The 20249-nt window shown below is 45.7% G+C and overlaps 1 protein-coding gene across 4 annotated transcripts in view; it reads left to right on the plus strand.

Annotated features, from left to right (window-relative positions):
* The window catches only part of MATN2 (matrilin 2), a 167661-nt gene that overhangs the window by 50092 nt on the left and 97320 nt on the right, over nt 1–20249 (plus strand). For all 4 annotated transcript variants that reach the window (NM_002380.5, NM_030583.4, XM_005250920.3 and 1 more), the window contains exon 3: nt 11798–12367. In NM_002380.5, the coding sequence (NP_002371.3) occupies nt 11798–12367 (570 nt within the window). The remainder of the gene's footprint in view (nt 1–11797; nt 12368–20249) is intronic.

Genomic DNA, 20249 nt, shown 5'->3' on the forward strand with positions numbered 1-20249 from the left:
TCACATAACCCTAGAGACAGAGTTCTCAAATTTGTTGTGCTTAAGAATCACTTGTAGCAATTACAAATGCAGATTCCTGGGCCTTAATCCCAGAGATTCTGATTCCCTGGGTCTAGGGTACAGCTGGAGTGCAGTGGTGCGACCACAGCTCGCTGCAGCCTCTGCCTCTCAAGTTCAAGCAATTCTCCTGCCTCAGCCTCCCGAGTAGCTGGGATTACAGGTGCCCGCCACCAAGCCTGCTAATTTTTGTGTTTTTAGTAGAGGCAGGGTTTCACTATGTTGGCCAGGCTGGTCTCGAACTCTTGACCTCAAGTGATCCACCCACCTCGGCCTCCCAAAGTGCTGGGATTACAGGCATGAGCCACGATGCCCAGCCGTCCCCACCTCTTTCTGATGTTATCGAGCTGTCGAGTATCCCAGCTGCAACCTGTTCTTTATTGTGTCTCTGCTGACCAGCGTTCCCAGCCCATTCCAGCTCATGGCAGGGTATCTGCAATCTTTCTCTTCCCTGCCCTCCCAAACCCCCACCCACAAGCTTTACCTGGAAGCTCATGTACACACCAAAGGGAATAAGCAAGGACCCAGACAGGCAGCCAGGTGCCTGGCACTAGGCCGGGTACTAGGGATTCATAGAAGATACTGCTTGTGGCCAGGTAGCTGCATGTGTGAGATACTGGTGGAAGACACTCAGACAGAGGTAAGCAGGGAGTGTTGGGGCTCAGAGGAAGGCCACTGAGGCCAGTGGAGAATGGCCCATTAAGGAAAGGTTTTCAAAATAGGTGACCACAGGGCTGAGTCTTAAGCTGAACAGGGAGCAGAGGGCATGCCTAGCAGAGAGGGCGCTGTGTAGGGACTACAGACAGGCAGTGTGACATTGTATAAGGTATAGGGCAGGGAGTGGTGGCTGGTGGAGAAGGCTGAGTTCATGAGTTCATTCTCCCCTGAACATCAGCAACCTTGCCATTAGTGACCCTTGGGATGGTGGCTTTTGAAGAAATTGCTTTGATGGAATAGCTCCCCAAGACTCATGGATACTGGGAGTTTATGTATGTATGTATGTATTTATTTATGAGACAGAGTTTTGCTCTGTTGCCCAGGCTGTAGTGTAGGGGCGTGATCTCGACTCACTGCAACCTCTGCTTTCCATGTTCAAGTGATTCTCCTGCCTCAGCCTCCTGAGTAGCTGGGATTAGAGGGGCACGCCACCATGCCTGGCTAATTTTTGCATTTTTAGTAGAGATGGGGTTTTGCCATATTGGCCAGGCTGGTCTTGAACTCCTGACCTCAGATGATCTGCCCACCTCAGCCTCCCAAAGTGCTGAGATTATAGGCGTGAGCCACTGCACCCAGCCCGATACTAGGAGTTTAAAGCTGTCATTTCTGGTTCTTGGGACTCAGATCAATGAAACTCACTAAAATATTCATTCATGGGAAAGTTCTGGTAGAAAGGGGAAGATTAAAGTCCATTTTTGTCAGGAGAGTCTCTCTCTGGGAAAGCCATTGATGAGATGACTGGGGCATAAGGTGGTGTGGTGGTGTGTGCCTGTAGTCCCAGCTACTCTGGAGGCTAACTTGGGAGGATCACTTGAGCCTGGGAGGCGGAGTGATTGGGAGTAATTGGAAAGTGACATCTGGAAGACAAATCGGTTTATTTTCATAAGCTCCCTCCAGTCTATGGGTGATGGGAAATTGGGGTGCTGTGTCAAGAGGAATCCTGTGGTTGGACTTTGATTCTGAGACCAGGACTGATTAGGGGTGTCGGTCACAGATGCCAGGGCTGGGGACATGGGGGTGACATGCAAGGCTTGGACTTGCCATCCTGGCTCCATATTTTATCATGGGACCAGCTGTCTCCCTTCCTTTGGTTTATGCAGTTGATTTCGAACCCTACGTGCAGGGCTTGACATTTTTACCAATTACACTTCATCTTACTAGTTTCTACTCATTATTCCATCCCTCAGAAACCCTTTCTGGGCCTGTCTGTGTTACTCAGCTTATTAACAGTTCCTCCCAGCATCGTATGCAGTGGTGTAGGGAGAACCATAAATGCCTCCAGAATTTGCAAAAATGTTTGGAAAATGTTACCAAGTGGGAAATGATTTGCTAATGAGTTCACAATATGTCTTAGACCCATTAAGTAATCCAGGGTGTCTCCCTAATATAGTAGAAGCAAGTTTTCAGAATATTCCCCAGCGGTTTTTTCAGAAAATGTGAATAGAGCACGACTGAGTCAAAGAAAGCCCTAGCTCATCAACTGCATTCTACAGTGTCAGGCCTCATGTGATGCCGCAGCTGGCGACTGACTAATAAGGGAATTGGAGAGGGGAGAATTGATTATTTCCTGGACAAGGACCATGGTGCCTTAATCAAGTGCCCTAAATGCAGGGGACTGCAGGGGAAGTCGCACTGTGGTAAAAAAAAAACAAATATAGTCTAAATTACATCTGAAGTAGCCTTTCAATTACCCTTAAGCACTGAGAGCTGGTCACAGTCTGGAGGCACACAGGGACAGAAGCACCTGAGGAGGCTCAGGGGCCGCATCTCAGGTGTCTGTGGACATGCCCCTGAGGGAGCACAGTGGTGGGTGGGATCCCACTGCTGTGTCGCACGGTCGTCTTTGCTCTCAGTCCATCTGTCTCTCTGTCTCTCTTTGACAAGCCCATGTAGTTCAAGTCTCATAAATAAAATGCGTACAGCCGGGGTTCCCAAACCCCATGCTGTGGACCGATCTCAGTCCGTGGCCTGTTAGGAACCAGGCCGCACAGCAGGAAATGAATGGCAGGTGAGCATTACCACCTGAGCTCCACCTCCTGTGAGATCAGTGGCGACATTCCGTTCTCACACAAGCGCAAACCCTATTGTGAATTGTGCATGCAAGGGATCTAGGTTGCACACTCCTTATGAAAATCTAACTAATGCCTGATGATCTGAGGTGAAACAGTCCCCCTCTTCCCCACTCTGTCCCTGGAACATTTGTCTTCCATTAAACCAGTGCCTGGTACCAAAAAGGTTGGGGACTGCTGGCTTATCGGATGCAATTTCCTTGTATTCTGATGTGCTAGTTTTATATTCTTATAGTGGAGGATCCATACCGCTTTCACGGTTTTATGAGAAATATCTCTTACAATCTTTCTATTTGTTTTGCTCTGACCCCATGCCCACCTGGCAGCCCTCCCTCATGAGTGCAGTTTTACCTGGAAGCTCATGTGCTGACCCTTCACATAGCCAGCCTTGTCTGCCTGCCCTTATTTCTCACTGAAAAAGAATGTTAGCCTTTATAGTCAGACGGTGTCTCATATGATTAGCTAGTTTACCTTTATTCATTTTTTCAGACGTGGGTAAAATTGAGTACTTCAATCTTTGTTGCAGAGCACCAGGCTCTAAGACCAGGTTGGTAGAAGGATTCTATTTCATGTGCCAGTTCTGACAAATTGTTTATTGGTACTCAAAGTGCCATGTTGAAAGGATCCAGGCTGAGGGGGACAGGGCCAGAATTGATTAACAATGTCTGCCAGGGACTGAAAAAAATGGCATTGTTAAGCTTGCCTTAGAGCCTGAGACAGTCAACCATTCCCTCTCTCCTCTACCAAAAGGTAGTCAACCACTCCCTCACTGTCCTTCTCTCTCTCAGCATGTATCATTAGAGACCTCCTTCCAGACTGGCTTGATCTGTTTATATTTATCAACAACAGCACACTGTATCTTTTTGGTCTGCCTGCTTCATTGTATCCCGTTATTGTGTCCTTTTCACAGTCAGGAGTCTTTTCCTTCCTCTGTATCCCCAGGCCCTGGCATACAATAGGTATGTTGAATGACTGGCTCACAACCTAAGAGTTCTACCTAATTGTTCTGCATGCAGGGAATCTGCCTTATTAGGGTCAGTCGTTTGCCTTGCTGAGATCCATACTACAGAGTTCCGTGGATCCTCTTGGTCTGTTCCATCTAGGAATAAAACGTACATTTTGCATGCCCTTTTTTTTTTCTTTCTTAAACTCCTGCTAGCTCATTACGATCATGGCTTGCTGTCTCTCTCTCTCTGTTCTTCTCTCATCATAAAACAGCTTCAACTTTTCTCCCCAGTGTCCCTTTGAAACTGTTGGTGAGCTAGTTTTTTCTCTGTCCCTTTAGGAAATTTTAATCATGTTTTTAATCATGCTTCATAGTGTTTTGGGTCACCCTTCGGTAATTTTTAAAATCCTCTGGTTATTCCTAGTTCTAAGAACAATTTTAGCTCTTGGCTTACTGCTACTCTGTCCAGCATTACCCTTGTCATAATTGTTGGTGATTTCAAGATCCACATGAATCATGAATCATCCTTTAATAGCTTTGAGATTCTTTTCTCCAATATTCTTGTCTTCCACCAGATCTCAGCCACTCACTTCTCTCTCTCTCTCTCTCTCTCTGTCTCTCTTTTTTTTGAGACGGAGCCTTGCTTTGTTGCCCAGATTGGAGTATAGTGGCACAATCTCGGCTCACTGCTATGTCTAGCCTCCCAGGTTCAAGCGATTCTCCTGCCTCAGCCTCCCAAGTAGCTGGGATAACAGGCGCCTGCCACCACGGCCGGCTAATATTTGTATTTTTAGTAGAGACGGGGTTTCACCATATTGGCCAGGCTGATCTCAAACTCCTAACCTCAAGTGATCCAACCGCCTTGGCCTCCCAAAGTGCGGGGATTACAGGCATGAGCTACTGTTCCCAGCTAGATTTCAGCCACCTTCTTCTCTTATCTTGACCCTATAATTACAGTAACTTTATTCCTGCCATAATTTCAGTTTAAACCTCCTATCTTCCCAGCTTACCTGTACTAGTATTCCAACTCCAACAATTCTGTGACCTTATCTGGACTTCCAGTTAATTGATCCTGCTATTTTTTCACTGTCTTTCACCTCAATTCCTCTATTTCCTGCTTCCCCAGCTTCAATTCTATAGGGAATCACTATAGTCACTGTCAACTACCTTTGCCCCTTTCCTGATTCATCGTTCTCGTTTGGCTACATGATAACCCTTGTTAAATTCAACTTTTACCAGCCTGCCCCCCATATCTGTGTAGCTGAATGTGGCTGTAGCAAAACATGCAACCACCTGGATTGGTCTCATGTAAATTTCATAATTGCAGCCTTTAAGTAGGCCTTTAATGTGGCCTGGAAATCATACTCTAGTTCCCTAATCCCTTCACTCTTCCACTGTCCTAGAAACTGTTACAGTTTTTTTTCACTTGTGTTATTACATTTTTCATGGTTCTCTTGTTAAGTGCCCACAAACCATCTGCTCGTGGGAACTTTGCTGGGAATTGATATGGAACATCACATTTTCTGAAATCAATTTTCCTGGGTATTTGACTACTGTCCAGACTGTAGTCCTTCTATTCCCCACAGCCCCTCAAAGATCGGTGACCTCTCTCTTTCCGTCACACCTGTCCCGTCCTTCATTCTCCCCCTGGCCCTTGACCGTACTGAACTCTCCGTAAGCGCTTGTCGAGGAGTAAGAATGGGAACCATCAGTGGCTTGACTTACTGGGCTGCTGCTATCCAGGCAGGCAAGCATCTGTTTTCATCATATTATTAAGTGTTTTTTTTTTTTTTTCAGCACTTGGCAGGAGGTAGGCAAGTTTGGGCCATAGCTTTCAGGCCCTGAGTCCAGGCAAGGAAAGAACTGACCCCAGAGAGCCAATCCAGCCCTGGTGCATCTTGAGTATTCTGGAAATGGCAGATCTAAAAGGACAAAATCATTTCATATTCATCATGAGTATAGCTTGGTGGTTAAGAGTGCAGACTACGGAGCCATCACGATGGGTTCAGATCCCAGCTCCTCTACTTCCTAGTGATAAAAGAAAAAACTCAACCAAATTAAATTTAAAGGAGTTTAACTGAGCAATGAACAATTTGTGAATCGGGCAGCACCCAGAATCACAGCAGATTCACAGAGACTCCAGTACAGCCACGTGGTGGAAGATTTATAGACAAAAAAAGGGAAATGATGTACAGAAATCAAAAGTGAGGTACACAGCGGGTGGATTGGCTACAGGCTGGCGTTTGTCTTATTTGAACACAGTTTGAACACTCAGTAGTGTATGAATGGTTGAAGTACGGCCGCTGGGATTGGCCAAGACTCAGCTATTGTTACAGGTGCATACTCCTAAGTTAGGTTTTCAATCTTGTGTACTTATAAGCTTGGTTGCAGTTTTTCCACAAAGACTGAAATATAGAAGCATGGAGTCATTCTCAGGCCATATTTACTTCACTTTTATACTAGATAGGAGAACTCAAGCAAGTTATCTAACCTCTCTAGACTCACTGTCCTCATCTATTAAAGAACAGTAACAACACCTACTTTCTAAGGTGTGTTCTTTCCTACTTTCTAAGGTGTGTGTGAAGAATAAACAAGCCAACACCTGTAAACCATTCAGAACAAGGCCTGGCACTAATTAAGTGCTCAGTAAATATTAGCTATAAATTACGATTATTTTCTCTTTTGAGTCTCACAACAGTATTGTAAGGTATTATTATCCCTATTTTGCAGAGGAAGAGACTGAGGGTCACACAGGTTAAGGAGAGGCTCAAGATCATTTGGACAGAAAGTGGCAGAGGCTGGGCTTGCATGGGATCATAGGACTCTAATACTGTTTCACTTAGGATTTCAGAGCCCCCTTTGGTCTCCAGATGAAATGATTTTACCCTTGTCATGGAGATTCATATTCATTCCTTCTCCAAATGTGTCCTAACTTCCCCATGCAGATGGCACCAAATATTTACAGTATGATTACACTGCCATGATTGAATTTAGCCAGAACGGGAGAGAGGCTGATTAGTGACAAGGCTGCAATCTTGAGAGGAGGAAATAGTTCTGATGTTGCACATTGTCATTCTGCTGGAGTAGGAATGTTGCTTAAAATTGTCCTGGCTCAGTTCCCTTTCTCTGGAAGAGTAAAAGACACTCATTTGCCCAATACATGGACTTTGGAGTCAAGCTGACAGTACTGGAAGAGCTGTTAACAGAGTCCAGATCATCACTTTATGGTTAGAGGGATGACGTTTTATTATGGGCCCACAAACTGTCCTCCAACTGTGGCTGAAAACCCTGTCATGAGAGGCCAGAAGGAAGATCATTGTATGTTCTTCTCCCAGGCCAAGGAGACAGGATGTCCTTCATCAGAACCAGTTGTCAGCATAAGAAGAACACACACCAAGGAAATCCATTTCCTGGAAACATCTCTCAACAGTTCCCATGTGGAGAAACTGTGAAGCTTTTCACAGCAAATGTTTTAGAGTGTTCCCAGGTATTTGCAAAGCTCCTATCATAATGCTGGCTGTACTGATAATTTCCTAAGGGTGCCTGCCATGAGACGATGGAAAGGGCATCAGGTCTGACCATGGTGAGCCATGAGGGCCTTGCAGAGATAGAGTCAACTCTCTGGGCCTCAGTTTTCCTTTCTATAAAATGAGTGACTTGGACTCTGTTGGGACCCCTCTGCCTCTAAGATTCTACTAGTCTGTGATTCCATGAGTCAAACTTCAGAAGTGGTTATGGTCCCTCATAAAATGGCAAAGATTTGGGTCCTAGAATCTATGACTCCATTAGCAGGACCACATCTCCTCTAGAACATTTTGGCTTCGTGCTTGTCATCATCTTTTTGTACTAACTGCTCTGATTCAATCTCTTTCCCTGAAGACTTGCTTCCACCAGAATTCCATTTAATTCCACAGATGTTGAATGAAGACTTTCTGTGTTTCCAACTGCATGCCTACAAAGATAAATGAGACTAGTTTCCTAACCTTGGGGAATTCCCAGTGAGATAGCAAGGTCAAGACTTTATAGAACTTCTTTTCTCCAGAGAGCTCTCTATTTCTTTGACCTGTGTGTGTCCCTAGACCAGTAATATTGACTTCACCAGGGAGCTTGTTAGAAATGGAAACCTACAGAATCAGAAGCTCTGGGGTTGTGGTGCACTGGTCTTAGTTTTGTTCTGTTTTGTTTTGTTTTTGTTTTTGTTTTTGTTTTTGTTTTTGAGATGGAGTTCCACTCTTGTTGCCCAGGCTGCAGTGCAATGGCATGATCTTGGCTCACAGCAACCTCCAGCTCCCAGGTTCAAGCGATTCTCCTGCCTCAGCCTCCTGAATAGCTGAGATTATGGGCATGCACCACCACACCCAGCTAATTTTGTATTATTATTATTTTTTTTTTTTTAGTAGAGATGGGGTTTCTCCATGTTGGTCAGGCTGGTCTTGAACTCCCAACCTCAGGTGATCTGCCTGCCTCGGCCTCCCAAAGTGCTGGGATTACAGGCATGAGCCACTGTGCATTTGGCCTGGTCTTAGTTTTTAACAAGTCCTCTAGAGAGTTGAGATGCACACTTGAGTTTGAGAACCATTGAACTAGCCCTTTCAGGGACAAGCTATGAGACTGTGGTTCTGAGCCCTCAAGGGACCCAAGGACACATTTTGAAGAAAATTCAGTTACTTGGGCTGCCAGGACTTGGTGTTTTCAACTCAGAATTACAGCTTTCTTGGAACCTCCAACAACATTTTGAACCTTTGTGGCGTTTTTGTACATGTGCAGGTGTTGTGGAAACTACCCATTTGTTTTGAAGGGAGAGAATCCAGTTTAGCACACAATTCTCCATGGAACTTCCAGGCTTCCCTTTAAATTGATTGTGATGCTTGGATAGATATTGACACCATGACTAAGACCCATAATAAAGGCCCAATCCAAGGAGGCTCTGCTACTTCCAAAGATCTCCAAAGGAAGAGAGTTCTCAGAGTGCGAGTCTTGTGTGAATTTCCCTCCCTTCAAAGGTGCCTTAATTAATATCCTCCTCCATGGCAGGGTCTAAGCCTGGCCCCTCTTCTCAGCAGGTAAAGATTATTGGGTCACACTCTCCCTGCAGTAAGTTCAGACATGAAGGGTCGGGCAGGTGTGGCTCTTGGAGAGGGCCTGCCTGGGTCTTGGGAATGCTCCCCCTTGTCCTCCTTCCTGGGATCTGCAGATCCATCATCTACTGCCCCAACCCAGGGCTATATGCTAAACCACAGGAGCCTTCATGAAAATTAGAAAAGCACTCCTGCCTTTTTTTTTTTTTTTTTTTTTTTTCTGAGGTGGAGTCTTGCACTGTCACCTGGGCTGGAGTGCAGTGGCGCCATCTCAGCTCACTGCAACCTCCGCCTCCTGGGTTCAAGTGATTCTCCCGCCTCAGCCTCCCAAGTAGCTGGGACTACAGGTGCGTGCCACCATGCCTGACTAATTTTTTGTATTTTTAGTAGATTTGGCGCTTCACCATGTTAGCCAAGATGGTCTCAATCTCCTGACCTTGTGATCCTCCCGCCTCGGCCTCCCAAAGTGCTGGGATTACAGGCGTGAGCCACTGCACCTGGCTGAAAAGCACCCCCCTTAAGGTGCCTCTTAGGGTGGCTCAGCCCCTGGGGCTCAGGGCTTGGCTGGATTTCAGTTCCTCTCACCTCCTTGAGCAGGTGCCTGTGTGCAGCACCAACCACATAGCCATAGCTGTAACCCTGCCCCTACCCAGCCTGGGGCTGGACACGAGTGAGGGCTGATGGAGGGGTGGGGAGAGCCTGTACATGCAGCCAGCACACGTCGGGAGTTCCCAAGTGCTGGATCCTTCATTACATCATTTCCTTAAATTCTTACAGCTGCCCAACGAGGTGGATATTGGTTGCACCTCTGTATATTTTTTTCTTTTTCTAAATTATGAAAGATTTCAAACTCTCAGTGCTCCCATGTTCTCATCTATGCAATGGGTATGATGCTTCTTGATCCTTTCTCAAAAACTTGTTCTGAAAATCAAATCACACCAAGTGACAAAGTGCTCTGGAAATGTTAGGTTTCATATAGATCTTATCGCTGAACCCTCAAAGGCTCACTTTCTGGGGCCTCTGTTTTGAGACACTCACCCTGGACTCACCCAGCCCTCAGGGTTATGCATGGGTATGTCAGAACGTTGGTTTCTTGCCAGGCTACTGGTATTTGTGGGTGCCTCCTCCCCTAAAATCATTAGACTTGTGAGGCGGCAAGGATGAGTTGTGTGTGCAGGCACTCAGGGACGAGTCACAGCCTGGCAAGCTGGCCTGGACAGGATGACTTCATGGGCCTTTCCCACTTCTCATTTTTATGACTAGCTTTACTGTTTCATTTTGGCTTTCTCTCTCTTTCTTGCAGCTGTGGTGATTAGGATTTAGGGCAAGCATTTGGGATCCCTTTTCTAATACCTTTCAAATCCTGATTCAGCTGCAAAGTCCGGGAAGGGAGTAGAGAATGGGGGAGGAGGGACTCACCCTGGTGAAAGGCAGTAGCTCAGAATATCCGAGAAACTCCCAACAGGAATGCCCAGCCTCCACCCACTAAAGCTGGAGGCCTCTCATCTCATCCAATATCACCCTCGTACTAGAAACGCAAAAGGGATGAGTTTGTCTATGGACTCAAACCTTTACAGTCTTCTTGCTTAGCAGCTTAAGGCATAATTATGGTAGTCATGGTGGTAAGGGACTTAACATTTGCCTTTTTCCAATTTAACTGTGTCCTTTGTTGAAATATTTCTTAGTCAGGTCCCCTTTTCTCTATTTCCACTACTGTCCTAGGATTAGATCTGAGTCCCCCTCTCAATGAGATTAGTCCAGAAATTGTGTATACCATCCATCTTGCAAACCACTGCCAGACTCTGTTGACTTTTCATTATGTAACTTCCCTATGGGAGAGGTGAGTTACATAATATGATGCTAAGATGCCCCTCACTGGTGGCATCATGTACATATTTCTCAGTCTGAAAGGAAAGGTCTTTTTAAACTGGCTTCAGGCCATCTGTCCAACTAATTCCTGCCTGCAACTCCTAGTATACCCTCTACTACAAGGTCTCATCACTTATTCTGTTACCCACCACATTCATTCCGTCTTGGGCTTTGGTTCATGTGATCCACTCGATGTGCTCCTTCTCTCTAATCCAAACACCACGCATCTATAAGGTCAGCTCACGTCCCATCTCCTTGACCCCAGCCCATTCATATCCCTATTCTCTTAGCAGCTATTGTCAGGACGACACAGTTTTCATGCCAGTTATTCTTTCATGGTTTTATTAGTTAATTCTCCCCAGGTAGATTAGAAGCTCCTTAACTTTGGACCCTGTCCTAAGCTTCTGTTATATTCTCTGCAGTGCCCAGCCAAGCTTATGTGTCATGCAGTAAAGAATAAAATAATTTTGACCCTGATCAGGTGTTTGGTTACATAAAAACTGCATTGGCAACTTTCTAGAAACTAATATATTCATTTATCTTGCAAAAAGGATTGCTATCTGATTATAGCCAGTAGTCATGATCTTCCAGCCATGCACAAATATACCCTTATAACTTTCATGAGTGGGGAGGAAAATTGATGAAGGAGGTTTCAAAGGTGATCATCAGTCCCAGGATTTCCAACAATAGCCAGTCTGCCCTGGGTCCTTAACTCTCTTTTAATGTTTTTATTCTTATTTTTATTTTTTTAATGCAGTCTCACTCTTGTTGCCCAGGCTGGAGTTCAATGGCACTCTCTTGGCTCACTGCAACCTGTGCTTGCTGGATTCAAGTGATTCTCCTACCTCAGCCTCTCGAGTAGCTGGGAATACAGGTGCCGCCACCACACCCGGCTAATTTTTGTATTTTTAGTAGAGACAGGGTTTTACAGTGTTGACCAGGCTGGTCTTGAATTCCTGACCTCAGGTGATCCACCCGCCTTCCAAAGTGCTGGGATTACAGGTGTGAGCCACCACACCTGGCCTCTCTTCTAATGTATTTGACCTCTCCTCTTTCCCCAGAGAGTTCCTGTGAGAACAAGCGGGCAGACCTGGTTTTCATCATTGACAGCTCTCGCAGTGTCAACACCCATGACTATGCAAAGGTCAAGGAGTTCATCGTGGACATCTTGCAATTCTTGGACATTGGTCCTGATGTCACCCGAGTGGGCCTGCTCCAATATGGCAGCACTGTCAAGAATGAGTTCTCCCTCAAGACCTTCAAGAGGAAGTCCGAGGTGGAGCGTGCTGTCAAGAGGATGCGGCATCTGTCCACGGGCACCATGACTGGGCTGGCCATCCAGTATGCCCTGAACATCGCATTCTCAGAAGCAGAGGGGGCCCGGCCCCTGAGGGAGAATGTGCCACGGGTCATAATGATCGTGACAGATGGGAGACCTCAGGACTCCGTGGCCGAGGTGGCTGCTAAGGCACGGGACACGGGCATCCTAATCTTTGCCATTGGTGTGGGCCAGGTAGACTTCAACACCTTGAAGTCCATTGGGAGTGAGCCCCATGAGGACCATGTCTTCCTTGTGGCCAATTTCAGCCAGATTGAGACGCTGACCTCCGTGTTCCAGAAGAAGTTGTGCAGTAAGTCCTGCTCCTTTGTCACTCTTCTAGAGGAACCACTAGAATTCATTCATTCATCTTCAAGTGTTCATTCTGTGTTACTATGTCCCAGGTACTGTGCTGGCAATAGGTTTTCAACAAAGGCCAAGATAAACACAACGTGCTCCAGGGGCTTACACTTTGGCCAAGAGACACATGTTTTTATTTATTTATCTTTTAGAGACAGGGTCATGCTCTGTCACCCAGGCTGTAGTGCAGTGGCATGATCACAGCTCACTGTAACCTCAAACTCCTGGGCTTAGGTGATCCTCTTGCCTTAGCCTCATGAGTAGCTGGGACTACAGGTGTGCACCACCATGCCTGGCTTATTTTTTAACTATTTGTAGAGACAACGTTTCGCCATGTTGCCCAGGCTGATCTGAAACTCCTGGCTTCAAGCGATCCTCCTGCCTCAACCTCCCAAAGTGCTGGGATTATAGGCATGAGCACCCAGCTAAGACAGACATTAAATATATAATTATACAAATAAGTAACTATAGTTGTCACAGTGTAATGGAGGAAGAATTCAGGACATGAAGGAGTGTGCAACCCCAGGACCTTATCTAGGCCTGGATGCTCAGGGAGATTGCCCTGGGGAAGGGACACGTAAGCCCAAACCACAGAATGAGGAAGAGTAGATAGACAGAGTTTTTCTTCAGCACATGGAGCTGCCCTGGAATTCCCTAAGTTGGAATTCATGAGTTGGAGTACGGATAGGAATGGAAGGGCAGAAAAAGTAACATAATCTCTCCTTGGATGGTGTGGAATACCAAGGCATTTTTGCCCCATGGTGGTGCTGGCAGGGGATGTTTTCTCAGCTGACAAAGAGGTCCAGCGTATACAGAGGACCAAGGTGTGGTCCTGGCAGCTCCCCACCTGTTAAGATTGTAGGGGCCACTCCTCACCTGCCAACTCTTTCTGCAGGAAGATGCCTCTCGGAGCCCCTGAGCTGCATTCTTCTATGTTGGAAGCTTTCTTTCCTCTTTTGCTTTCTAACCCTCTTTTCACAGGGCTTCTCTCTCCCTTCCTTCCCACGCACTTTCCAGTTATCTCTACCCCTGCTGCTGCCCCCACTCTTCTCAGCAGGTCAGCCTGCATTCTCCCCAGTTTCCTGCCTCTGCGGCTGCCTTTTTGTTCCTTCCTCCTCCGGGAGGGCAGGGGGCCAGCCGCCCAATCCAGGAAACTCGCATCCTGATTTGGTAAACAATGTCCCACCCTGACTTGTCCATTCCCAGTGGTCCCTGTCCCCTCCAGCTACCATGAATCTTTGGTGGGGAAATAAAGGGAAATAATCTATTTTTAAATATCTATTTGTAAATTATCTATATGTAAATATCTATTTGTAAAATGTAAAATATCTTCCTAGAGCAGAGTGGAGAATGAGCTTTAGAGCCAGACTCAGCACCAACTCCCCAGGAGAGGGCACCCAGGAGGGGGTTCTCAGAATGTGACATATTCTAGACCTCTAAGATATAGCCCCCAGCGAAGAACAATGTGCTTTTGATGTGTATTAAACAAAATCCCCTGCTGAGAACTAACTTCAAAAAGCACAGAGATCTCATTTGTTCTTGACTCCGGAATCAAAAGATTTACTTAAGAAATCAATGCCATGAAGAAAAAAAGAACCTTTTTCCTTGCCATGCCACTTGGAAAGTGTTCAGAAGTGCCATTTCCCTGGCACTGCAGAGGCTGTGTTGTTGTGGTGTGTTGTGGCCTAAGTCAGCTGGAACACTTCAATCAGCAGAACACACTGCAAACATTTTCAAGGTTTATGACTTTAAATGACTTCTGCAGAATTTATGTTTCCCCTTTCCTGAAAATATTAAAAGGGAAATTGGTTCTGTAACCATTTTGACAGCTTATTCATTTGTGTTGGAAAATTTTAATGGAGGGGTTCTTTTTATAAGCCTTCTGTATTTATCAGAAAATGGAAAGATAACATGATAAGGCTGAGGAGCTACACAATGGGACTGACCGCCCCCCTCCCCCCACCCCCGCAATCCTGGTGTCGAATAGGATATACCAATGTGGACTTGTCTGTGGAAAAACCATCTCTGTGTGCTTTCTGGCAAGGCAGCAAAATGAAAAGGCAGTTTGGACTTTTCCTCCCTTCATCTTCTTTGTTATAATCTGGAAGCTCTAAGAAAACATTAGCGTTATCCCGCTTGTTCCTGTGCCTGAGAAATGAATCCCCTGTGAGTCCCCCCATCCACTCTGCAGGAGACAGGGCTGCTGTCTCTCACTGCACTGCACTGCCCGGCTTTGCTCAGCAGACTCAGCAGCCGTCTTGAAAGGCTGAAGAGGCCCCAGGGCCTCTTTATCAACTTCATGGTAAAGACTGTAGTAACTAACATTTATAAAGCACTTTCCCTTATGTTATCGCAGAAAGCCCCAGGAGGCAGGCAGCACACTCTTGCCACTCTCTTTTTACAGGTTAAGGAACTTGCTAAGTGAATCACCTGAAAAACAAATAGCCAAGAGATAGTTGGATGCTAATTCCAAACCTCTTGCTCATTTCACTCCTCTGCATGTTGGGAATTACAAATTCCTCTTTTAAGGTAAACCATTTTCTGGTGGCCACCTCCACAGTCCAGCCTGGCCAGGTAAACCTACTTTGCAATTGGCATTCACCTAAAATAGGTGAAACTCTGAAGGCAGCCTTCGTAGGAGGAAGAGGAGCTGACTCTAGTTGTACAATCTTGAGCAAATCCTTTGTGCTCTCTGAGCCTCAGTTGCCTCATCTGTAAAATGGGGATTTTATATGCAGAAAGTAGATGAGTGAACAGGTGTTGTAAATGGTAGAGCCCTATTCAGTGTGCACTGTGTTATGTATTATTACAATCAAATACACTGAGGACCGATGGGCTAGGCAGATGGCCTCAGTTTTGATCTGCACTCAAATGATCAGACAAAAATGGTGAGCATTTTCCAAGTTGCAGATGACATCTCTGAGGTTTGGGAAGTCTCATTTGTTCCTTAAACATTCATTGAACCTGTAAACCAAAAAGTATCTGAGACAAGTCCCAATCAATGTAAAAGTTTATTTTGCCAAGGTTAAGGACATGCCTGGAGAAAAGGAACACAAAATCACAGGAACAATCTGTGGTCTGTGCCTTTTTCCAAAGATGATTTTGAGAGCTTCAGTATTTAAAAGGGAGAGAGGGAGGGCATGGTCACATTACTGAATCCACATGTTGCAAGAGAAAAGGAGCAGGTAGGGGAACAGTCAATCATGTATTCCTCTAGTGCTCAGTAAATCAACACTTTACATAAGATAAGGTGAACATAGAGTAGCTACTTATGCAGATATTTAACCTTTTATCTGTAGCTATCTGCTTAGGAACAAAAGCAAAGGCAGTTTCTTGCATTACTCAGCTTTTAGCTTAATTTTTTTCCTTTTGGCATAGTGATTTGGGATCCTGAGATTTTATTTTCCTTTCACAAACTGTACCCCAATAATAGCTAATCTTGTCCTGTGCTAGGTACTTTCAAATACAGTATTCCACTTAATACTTAAAATAGCCGTTTGAGATAGGTACTATCATTATCTTTTTTTTTTCTTTCTAAGAGATAAGGTCTCACTATGTTGTCCAGGCTGGCCTCGAACTCCTGGGCTCAAGCAACCCTCTCACATCAGCCTCCCAAGTAGCTGGGACTACATGTCACTATACCTGGCTCTATTATCCCTATTTTACACAACTGGAAATTGTCAGGGTCTGCCTGGGGGCTCCAGGAGAGCTTTAAAGATGAGGTGATACTAATAATCACTAACATTTCTTGATATTAATGTATGCATGTGTTGTTTCAGGCTATTAGTGTATGTTAACTCACTTTATTCACACAACAAACCTGTCAAGTAGATGCTCTTATAGTTCCCATTTTATGGAAGAGGAAATTGAGAACCAAAGAGGTTAAATAACTTGTCCAAGGTCACAAACCTGTAAGTGCTGGAGCTTGTTTTTTTGTTTTTATTTGTTTGTTTTATTTTGTTTTTTGAGATAGGGTCTCACTCTGTCACCCAGGCTAGAGTGCAGTGGCATGATCATAGCTCACTACCGCCTCAAAGTTCCATCTCAGCTTGGACTACAGGTGTGCGCCGCCATGACTGAATAATTTTTACTTTTTAAAAAAGAAACAATGTCTTACTATGTTGCCTAGGCTGGTCTTGAACTCCTGGGCTCAAGCAGCTCTCCTGCCTCTGCCTCCCAAAGTGCTGGGACTACAGACATGAGCCACTGTGCCTGGCCTGTAAGTGGTAGAGTTGAGACGTGAGCCTAGGCATTCTGCAGGCAGAACTGAAAATCAATGCTACATCTGCAGATTGGGACAGGTTCTGTCTGGGTGTGATCAAGGCAGGACCTTTATCATACAGTGAGGAATTGATTAGACTCTGCAGCCAGACCTCGCTGGGTGAGAGTCCTGGCTTTTTTCTCTTTGGCTGTCTGGCTGTACAATCTTGAGCACAGTGGAGGCTTTATACTTGCAGGCAGGGACTTCCCATACCAGCCACAGCAAGGGGAATCCTGAGGTTGCATTCTCAGGCCACCCTTGAGACCACCAGGGAGAGGCCAGGTGCCCTGTGAATTGAGGTCCTGTCTACAAGATGACCAAACCCCACACATCCTGGAGTCTGCCATTTTTGCCACCCAGTAAGAGAAAACATGGAATCTATGGGCTGAAAACGCTGTCCCCAGTGTTCTGGTGATTCTTGCCACCTGGGCGAGATTGCTTTTAATTAACCTCTAGGTGCTGACTTTATCAGCCTCATCTGGTATTTTGGAGCAGGGAGCCAGGCTGTTCCTACCCTAATAGCCCCACCCCACCCAGGCCAGGCACAATTTAAGGCCCTAATAGTATTCCTAGGACACACCCTTCATGAACTGGCCTGGGCAGTCTACACTGATGGCACCCCTTTGAGGTCCTGATGTGAAGTGGGGAGGCTGGACTGACTTCACAAACGTTGAGTCTACTGTGCCCAGTAATACAAGACCTCCAGCCCACCTCCCTACACTGACCACTCCTTTAGTCATTCATACAATCATTAAAAAAAGGACTGTTCTTATTTCCTAGTCAACAAATCCAATCCCACCAATGACTTAGGCTGCTGATTAGTTATTCCTCCCCGCTGAACACAAGGCCTTGGCTGAGTGTAAACCCAGAGGGCCTTCTGAGAAATGAGGCTCATAGGACTGTTTCCAGCAGGCCGGTGGAGGAGGCAAGGCTGTGGTCTCCCCTTGGCTCTCACCGCAAAGGCCCATCCCACAGAGGGCAAGGCATGAGGCCTGGATGCTCTGAAAGTCACTCAGCACTCACCCACAGCATTCTACAGATGGGAAAGTTTTATTCTAGTTTAGTGAAGGTGTTTGAGATTCTTTTGGTTGAAAGTGTCAGGAATTCCATTTTTTTCTAAAAGGAGGGGGGAGTGCATTATATTATCCATGGAAATAAGGATGGCAGTTGTGAGAGTCCTGCTTTCACTGCATCTCCCCTCCACTCCTCTCCTTCTCCAGTCCACAGTCAGGAAGCATGGCCCCACCAGCCCCTGAGGCTCACTTGTTCTCAGTTTGAGCCTCCTTTTATTCAGTTCTGGTTCCTAAATGCCAGTAAAGGACTCTGATTGTCAAACCCTGTACCAACCAACAGTGGCCAGGAGTGAGACTACCTCAGACCACCACGGCAGCTCCCCGATGCAAGGTGTCTGGAGTGAGAAGGAAGGGCAGTTTCTAGAAAAACCAGGTACCAGATTAAATAATAGGTGTCTGTACTGAGGTCCCTAGAGGCTGTCCATGCCTTTACTCTACAGGTAAAGAAATAGCCTACAAGAGCTACCTGATTTCCCAGAACTTCCCTCACTTGTTCGAGGTAGAGGGGAACTAGAGCACAGTCTTCTAGCTCCCAATCCAGTGCCTTTTCCATTACACCAAGTTATAATCTTTTTTAGTTCCAGTTTCTCTTATGGCACATGGCCAAAATAAGCCTTAGTAACAAGCTGTCATTCTGAAACCCAATGCAATAGTTCTTTTAATTCCCCCTCCCCACTAACTTTTTTTTTTTTTTTTTTTTTTTGAGATGGAGTCACTCTCTGTCACCCAGGCTGGAGTGCAGTGGCACGACCTCAGCTCACTGCAACCTCTGCCTCCCGGTTTCAAGCAATTCTCCTGCCTCAGCCTCCCAAGTAGCTGAGCCCACCACCATGCCTAGCTTATCTTTATGTTTTTAGTAGAGATGGGATTTTGCCATGTTGGCCAGGCTGGTTTCAAACTCCTGGACTCAAGTGATCTGCTCACCTCAGCCTCCCAAAGTGCTGGTATTACAGGCATGAGCCACCATGCCTGGCCTAATTTCCGCAATTGATAGGTGAAGAAAGTGGAGTTCAGAGAAACCAAGTCATTTGCACAAGGTCATAGGGAGTGGCGAAGCTGAGCCTTCAGGTGGTCTATTTCCGGTAGCCATCCTCTCCCCACGATGCTGCCTGCTGCCCGCCAGATATTTTCTCTGCCTCACATCTCCTGTCTTCTTATTTTGTCTGTTAGGGTCTCACCAAGAAGACAGGCACCAGGTACATCACTTGGGCCTCCCACTCATGACAGTGGGTGACTGCCGTGTAGTTGGTTGCCTACACACTACACTTCCTTAATTATGGAGAGAGACAGTGACATGCTGTGAGTGCCTTAGAAATGTCCTCTGCCCGTGGGTAATTTGACTCCAGCAGTCCAGGAAAAGAAGAGAGTCTTTCAGGATGCAAAGCAAATGCAAATTAAAAGTGGGATAATGATTACCCCTCACCATACGATTGTCAAAACTTGAAGTTTGATAACACCAAGTACTGAAGTTTTGAGGGGATGGGAATCGTTAGGACCATCGTTGCTGACATGAGCTGTCTTGGAAGGCAATCAGGCCATATCTGTTTAAAGTGAGACCCAGTCCTAGAGAAAACATCGTACATGAATTCAAGGGGACGTGTTCAGGAATGTTCATCACAACACTGTGAAAGTGAAAACTTGGAAACCACCCAAATGCTTACCAATGGGGAAATGGCCAAATAAAATGAGGAAAGTCATATGACCAATGGATAAAACAATTGGGAGGGATAAACTAGATCTAAGGTTTTGATTAAATCTTTAAATCTAAAATACAGCTAGTTTTCATTATTCACAATAATTATGTTTTATAAAGTCACTGCAAACACTGAGTTAGAGAATACTAAACCATTGCTCCATATATTCCTGATGGAATATAGGGTTAGGTTCCTGCAATCCTCTGGTGACAATATTTTTTGTCAACTAATCAATACGTAGCCTTGTTTTATGTGTGTTTCTGTTTAAAAACATCTTATTTTTTGTTTGTTTGTTTATTTTTTGAGACAGAGTCTCGCTGTGTCTGCAGTGGCACAATCTCAGCTCACTGCAACCTCTGCCTCCCGGTTTCAAGCAATTCTCCCGCCTCAGCCTCCCGAGTAGCTGGGATTACAGGCACCTGCCACCATTCCTGACTACTTTTTGTATTTTTTTTTTTTAGTAGAGACAGGGTTTCACCATGTTGGCCAGGCTGGTCTTAAACTCCTGACCTCAACTGATCCACCCACCTTGGCCTCCCAAAGTGCTGAGATTACAGGTGTGAGCCACCATGCCTGGCCGAAAACATCGTATTTGATATATACCATTGATTCATTAACATCAGACCCACAGCCAACGGTAACTCCTGACTGAATGAAACTTACCTAACACATGTTTTCCCTGTAAGGCACATCGCAGCCTTTCTGCACTGAGGAACACTAGACGGCGCATCACCATTTTAAACCGCAAAATCACTTACAGAAAGCACAGAAATGAAAAAACAAACAAACAAACAAAAAAACCACGGT

The sequence above is a fragment of the Homo sapiens genome, chromosome 8, assembly GCF_000001405.40.
Source record: "Homo sapiens chromosome 8, GRCh38.p14 Primary Assembly".
In the NCBI taxonomy this organism is placed as follows: domain Eukaryota; kingdom Metazoa; phylum Chordata; class Mammalia; order Primates; family Hominidae; genus Homo; species Homo sapiens.